Source organism: Homo sapiens, chromosome 7 (assembly GCF_000001405.40).
Source record: "Homo sapiens chromosome 7, GRCh38.p14 Primary Assembly".
Lineage (NCBI taxonomy): Eukaryota > Metazoa > Chordata > Mammalia > Primates > Hominidae > Homo > Homo sapiens.
Window position 1 is genome coordinate 138,173,972 of NC_000007.14, and position 7,195 is coordinate 138,181,166.

General features: G+C 39.6%; 1 pseudogene; it reads left to right on the forward strand.

Annotated features, from left to right (window-relative positions):
- The first annotated feature begins 2,182 nt into the window (after positions 1 to 2,182).
- On the forward strand, positions 2,183 to 2,311 carry LOC124901851 (uncharacterized; annotated as a pseudogene).
- The last annotated feature ends 4,884 nt before the right edge of the window (positions 2,312 to 7,195 follow it).

Sequence of the window (7,195 nt, forward strand, 5' to 3'; positions counted from 1 at the left end):
TGAAGAACACAGGAAAATCTCCTCATGTGTAGGGCAGGTGGAGAGAAGAAGTAACCACTTTGAAATAAGCCCAGAAACTTCTGTTCTCCATAACAAAATGCTTCTCTCAAAAGAAACTACTTTGTTAAAGCCTTATCTGATCTTGTGGAAGGACAATAAGCAATTAAGCCACTTTTAGCTTCCTATCTCATATAAAGGGAGGGAAAAAAGCTAAAACTCTTCCCAAAGTCACAAGCCAGGGACAAAGAGAGAGAAAAAGAAAGAAAGAGAGAAAGAAAAGAAAGGAGGAAAGAAAAGAGGAAAGAAAGAGAAAGAAAGAAAGAAAGAAAGAAAGAAAGAAAGAAAGAAAGGGAAAGAGACAAAGGAAAGAAAGAAAGAGAAAGAAAAGAAACAAAGAAAAAAGAGGAAAGGAAAAGGAAAGGAAAGGAAGAAAGAAAGAGGAAAGGAAAAGAAAGGAAGAAAGAGAGAGGAAAGGACGAAAGAAAGAGGAAAGGAAGAAAGAAAGAGGAAAGGAAAGGAAAGGAAGAAAGAAAGAGGAAAGGAAAGAAAGAAAGAAAGAAAGAAAGAAAGAAAGAAAGAAAGAAAGAAAAGGAAGGCTGAATCATGATTATACAATGCTGCTTCTCCATAATACCTTACCACCACATCAATAGGGTTCCAGTATAGTAACAGTAGATTATAACAGAGATATAAAAGACACAAGCTCTATTAAAGAAGGAGACTCTAGGGAAACCCAAAGGCAACAGGAAAGACAAAAACAAGAACACTAGAGAAACTGAAGTCTCTGACACTTTATAACTACAGCAAACATTAAACACAGCCTAGCCAGATAAACATAAAGCCTCAAACTAAAGGCCCATTTACTTCAGCTCCTATTACCCAATACGTTATGTTCAGCATTCAACAAAAAAATTACAAAGCAGAAAAAAAGGCAAGAAAGCTTACAGTTTGAATAGGCAAAGCAAGCATTAGAACCAGACTCAGACATGGCAGAGATTTGGGTATTCTCAGGCAGATATTTTAAATAATTATGATTAATATGCTAAGTGCTCTAAAGGAAAACGTGAACTACATGCAAAAACAGATGAGTAACTAATTGATCGCAACCAGTTACAGATTTCTTTGTTCCTTCTCCATTCCTACTGCTTTATTTGACTACCATTTAAAAAATAATAATTAAAAAAACCAGACGGATGAGAAGAAAAGAAAGGAAGCTGGGTGTGGTAGCTCACACCTGTAATCTAAGCACTTTGGAGGTCGAGGCAGGAGGATCACTTGAGGCCAGCAGTTTGAGAACTAGCCTGAGCAACAGAGTGAGACTGTCTCTACAAACAATTAAAACAAAAATTTTTCAAGTAAAAAGGAACGAAGAAAGAGATGGAGAAAAGGAGAAAGGAAGGAAGAAGAGAGAAAGAAAGGGAGAAAGAAAATAAAGAAAATTCAAGGCCAGGTAAGGTGGCTCATACCTGTAATCACAACATTTTGGGAGACTGAGGCAGGTGGATGGCTTGAGCTCAGGAGTTTGAGATCAGCCTGGGAAACATGGTGAAACTCTGTCTCTACCAAAAATTAAAAAAAATTTGCCAGGCATAGTGGTGCACGCCTGTAGTCCCAGCTACTTGGGGGAGGCTGAGGCAGGAGTATTGCTTCAACTTGGGAGGTCAAGGCTATAGTGATCTGAGATGGCACTACTGCGCTCCAGCCTGGGTGACAAAGTGAGACGTGTCTCAATAAATAAATAAGTAAGAAAATTCAAGCTGGGCACGGTGGCTCATGCCTATAATCCCAGCACTTTTGGAGGCTGAGGTGGGTGGATCACCTGAGGTCAGGAGTTCGCGATCAGCCTGACCAACATGCAGAAACCCCGACTCTACCAAAAAATACAAAATTAGCTGGGCGTGGTGGCACATGCCTGTAATCCCAACTACTCGGGAGGCTGAGGCAGAAGAATCACTTGAACCCAAGAGGTGGAGGCGGCGGTAAGCCGAGATAGCGCCATTGTGCTCCAGCCTGGGGAATAAGAGTGAAACTCCATCTAAAAAAAAAAAAAAAAGAAAGAAAGAAAGAAAAAGAAAATTCAATTTGGGAAAAACAAACGAAAACAGATGGGTAAAGTAGGCAGAAAGATGAAAACCCTAAGAAAGAATCAAAAGGAAATGTTAGAAATAAAAAAAACACTGTAATCTTTTTGTAATTCCTAAGCATGATGGTTGATTCGGCTCTCACACTTGATGATTGGGCTTTCACTTGGATCTGTGAGATGTGCCTCCCTCAACCCTTCCTGCGAAGTCAGCACATTACCTGACAGAAATGAAAAGGGAAAAATAAATATAAAACATTGTAACAAACATGAAGAATGCTTTTGATGGGTTCGTAGTTGGACTGTTCACAGCCGAAGAATCAATGAGGTTGAAGATACTGATACAACCTTCCAAAACTGCAATGCAAAGAGTGAAATAAATAAATAGATAAAACCCCAAATATTCAAGAACTGTGGGACAATTACAAAAGGTGTAACACGGGAAATGGGAACACTAGAAGGAGAAGAGAAAGAAGCAAAATATGTACAGAGGCCTTTTTTTTTCTTTTTTGACACCCGGATCTCACTCTGTTGCCCAAGCTGGAGTTCAGTGGCATGATCATGGTTCACTGCAGCCTCCACCTCCCGGGCTTTAGCAATCCTCCCACCTCAGTCCCCAAGTAGCTGGACAGGCGTGTGCCACCACACCCTGACAATTTGTATATATTTTGTAAAGATGGGGTTTTGCCACATTGTCTAGGCTAGTCTCAAACTCCTGGACTCAAGCAATCTGCCTGCCTCAGCCTCCCAGAGTGCTAGGATTACAGGCGTGAGCCACCACACCTAGCCTAAAAGAAAAATCTAAAGTACTAATGGCTGAGAAATGTCTGGAATTAATGATAGACACCAAGCCACAGAGAACACCAAGCAAGATAAGTAGCAAAAATCTGTACCTGCAGGAAACAAGACAACTAAAAAAGCCAAAGGAAAACAATTCCTTACCTATAGAGGAACAAGGATAAAGATTATGTTAGACTTTCTTTCAGAAACCACAAAAGCAAGGCCGGGTATGGTGGCACACGCCTGTAGTTCCATCTACTCCGGACGTTGAGGCAGGAGGATTGCTTGGATCATTTAAGTCCAAGAGTTCAAGGCTGTAGTGAGCTATGACTGCATCACTGCACTCCAGTCTGGGCAACAGAATGAAACCTTGTCTCCAAATTGAAGAAGAGAGAGAAGAGAAGAAGAGAAGAGGGGAGGAAAGGAGAGGAGAGGAGAAGAGAAGAGAAGGGAGGAGAAGAGTAGCGAAGAGAAACCACATGCCTGGGTGCAGTGGCTCACGCCTGTAATCCCAGCACTTTGGGAGGCCAAGGTGGGCAGATCACCTGAGGTCAGGAGTTTGAGACCAGCCTGGCCAACATGGCGAAAGCCCGTCTCTACTAAAAACAGAAAAATTAGCTGGGCGTGGTGGCACACATCTGTAATCCCAGCCACTCAAGAGGGTGAGGCAGGAGAATTGCTTGAACCTGGGAGGCAGAAGTTGCTGTCAGCCAAGATCATGCCACTGCACTCCATCCTGGGTGAAAGAGCAAGACTCTGAGAAAGGAAGAAAGGAAGAAAGAAAGAAAGGAAGGGAGGGAGGGAGGGAGAAAGAGAGAGAGAGAGAGAGAGACAGAAAGAAAGAAAGAAAGGAAAGAAAGAAAGAAAGAAAGAAAGAAAGAAAGAAAGAAAGAAAGAAAGAAAGAAAGAAAGAAAGAAAAAGAGAAAGAAAGAAAGAAGGAAAGGAAGGAAGGAAGGAGTGGAGTGAAATATTTAAAGTGTTGATACAACTATAATTTGTCCATTTACAATTTTAAAAACATGGATGGGTGCGGTGGCTCACGGCTGTAATCCCAACACTTTGGGGGGCCAAGGTGGGTGGATCACCTGAGGTCAGGAGTTCGAGACCACCCTGACCAAGATGGTGAAACCCTGTCTCTACTGAAAATACAAAAATTAGCCGGGCATGGTGGTGGACACCTGTAGTCCCAGCTACTCAAGAGGCTGAGACAGGAAAATCACTTGAACCCGGGAGGTGGAGGTTGTAGTGAGCCAAGATCGTGCCACTGTACTCCAGCCTGGGCAACAGAGCGAGACTCCATCTCAAAAAAAAAAAAAGTATATATATATATATATATATATATATATATATATATATATATATATATATATATATATATAAAAAATGTTGAAAGCACAAAACTAATAATCTAAAATTCTGTATCCAATACATTATCCTTCAAAAATGGAAAGAGAAATAAATACTTTCTCAGCTAAACAATAAAAGAATTTGATGTCTGTAGATCCATCGTATATGAAACATTTTTTTAAAGTTTTCAGAGACAAGGGAAATTATTTAGGACAGAAACGCAGGTTCACATCAAGAATGAAAAAGCCATCAGAGAATAAATGAAAGATAAAATGTTTTAGTTTTCATACTCATTGATCTAATAATTATTGTTCAAAATAATAATAGCAATTTGATAATAATTTGATTATAGTGTATGGATAAGTGAAATGAGTGCCAGCAATGTTTTAAGGGAAGGAAGAAAGGAACTAGGAATACTTTGTTATAATGCATCTGCACTACCTGTGAAGTGGCATAGTATTAACAGTGGACTTAGATTAGTTGTAAATGTACAGTGTAAATTCTAGGGCAACCAGTGGAAAAAATGTAAAAGTGTAATATTATGCTAAGAGAGGACAGAAAATGGAATCATATAAAATATTCCATTAAAACCAAGCAGGTAGTAAAAGAGGGAAGACAAAGAAAAAGACAAAGTGCAACAAGTATAAAACAGTTATAAATATGGTAGATATTAATCCAACTATTTCAATAATCACTTTAAATGTGAATGGTCTAAATATACCAATGAAAAGACAGACAGAGTGGATCAAAAAACAAGATCCAATTTTATGTTGTGTGCAACAAACTCACTTTAAAAATAAAGACATAGATTAAGAGTAAAAAGAGAAAGATATACCATGCTAACACTATCCAAAAGAAAAGTAGAGTAACTATATTAATTTCAGATAAAAGACTTCAGAATAAGAAAATTTCTCAAGAATAAAGAGGAGTATTACCTAACAATGGAAGACTCAATTCTTTAAGAAGACATAATAATCCTCAATGTGTATGCACCAAACAACAGAGTCAATATCCTTGAAGCAAAATCTGATAGCACTGCAAGGAGAAATAGACAAATCCACCTCTATTATAATTGGAGACTTCAAAACCCCCTTATCAGTAACTGACAAATCCAGCAGGCAGAAAATTAGTAAAGATATACCTGAAGTGAACAGCACCACCAATCAACTGGATCTAATTGACATGTATGAAATACGTCATCCAACAACAACAGAAAACACATTTTCTCAAGGTCACGTGGAACATTCACAAATATAGACCACATTCTGGGCTATAAAACAGATCTCAACAAACTTAAAAGGATAGAAAACATACAGAGTATGCTGTGAGACCACAATGGAATTAAGCTAGAAATTAATCATGGAAAGATAAAGCTAGGTATGGTGATATGCACCTGTAGTACCAGCTAGTCTAGAGGCTGAGGTGGGAGTATTGCTCAAGCCCAAGGATTCAAGCCCAGCCTGGGCAATATAGCAAGACTCCATCTCTTAAAAAAATAACAGAAAGGTAGCTGAAAAATCCTGAAATATTTGGATATTAAGGCACACACTTCTAAATAACAAATGAGTCAAAGAAAGTCTTAGGAGAAATTTTGAAGTATTTTGAATTAAATGAAAATGAAACAGCATTAAATGTCCTCCCATCCTGAGAAAGTTAGGACAGTACTCTGCCCCTACCCTTGAAGAAGACTGAAAATTAACCCTCTGAAGATACTGCTTTGCACTCTGAACTCAGACACCAGGCAGAGTTGAGGATGCTAGCTGAATAAGGGGAACTAAGTAATATTCCACATACCACACATTTGGTACCATCTCCCAGCCTCCTTCTCCTACTTGTCTTTCAGAATAATAGTAACCAGGAATATACCCCTTCAGTAGACAGAATAATGGCCCCACAAGGATGTCCACGTCCTAATCCACAGGACCTGTGAACGTGTTATGTTACATGGTAAGGTGAAATTAAGGTTGCTAATAAACCCTGGATGATCTGAATGCATCCAATGTGATCACAAAGGTCCTAATAAGTGACAGAAGGAGGGAGGGAGTATCAGGATATGAGAAAGACCCCACGGGCCACTGCTGTCTTTGAAGATGGAAGGGGACCACAGCCAAGAAATGTGGAGCAACCTTTAGCTGGAAAAGGCAAGAAAACAGATGCTCCCTAGAGCCTCCAGGGAAGAACACAGTCCTGCAACCCCTTGATTTTAGCCCAGTGAGACTTGTGTCCAACCTCTGACCTCCAGGACTGTAGGATAATACATTTCTACCATGTTAAGTGATACACTTATGGTCATTTGTTACAGTAGCAACAGAGAACTTACAAAGCCCCCAATCCAGAAAGTGTAGGCTTCCTCACTTTCAACACTGACCAGTCCACAGGAAATTCATACAGACCAATATTGGCACCCGGAGTCTCCTGAAAAATAGCCGATGGCCCTCCCTGATCATCCTATAGTGAAATCTCCTTTTTAAAAACTACACTCATCCACACAGTGTCTAAATCTGAAATATAAATGAACACCTAAGGATGAGTCAACACTTGGAAAAAGCTTTTGACATCAAAGAGATCCCAACAAACACAAAGAGAGAAGGAATTGGATGGAAAAAGAGACAATGCCGGTGAAAAATGACTTTAAAAACATAATTGAGGGTAGCTGTAGTGGCTTACGCCTGTTATCCCAACTAATCAGCAAGGTGAGATGGGAGGATGGCCTGAGGCTGAGAGTTTGAAGCTACAGTGAGTTATGATCATGTCACTGGACTCCAACCTGGACAACCGAGTAAGGCTCATCTCTAAAACAATAAAAATTAAATAAGAAATTAAAACCGTAATTGATATCCTCAAAGAGAAAAGAGAAGATATTGAATCTATGAAATGGGATGCTGAGGTAACCCCAAGGATGAGATTATCAAATCAAACTCATAAGAATCAGAGATCTTAGCCAGTATCAAAATTTACTAATTAGGCCAGGTGCAGTGGCTCATGCC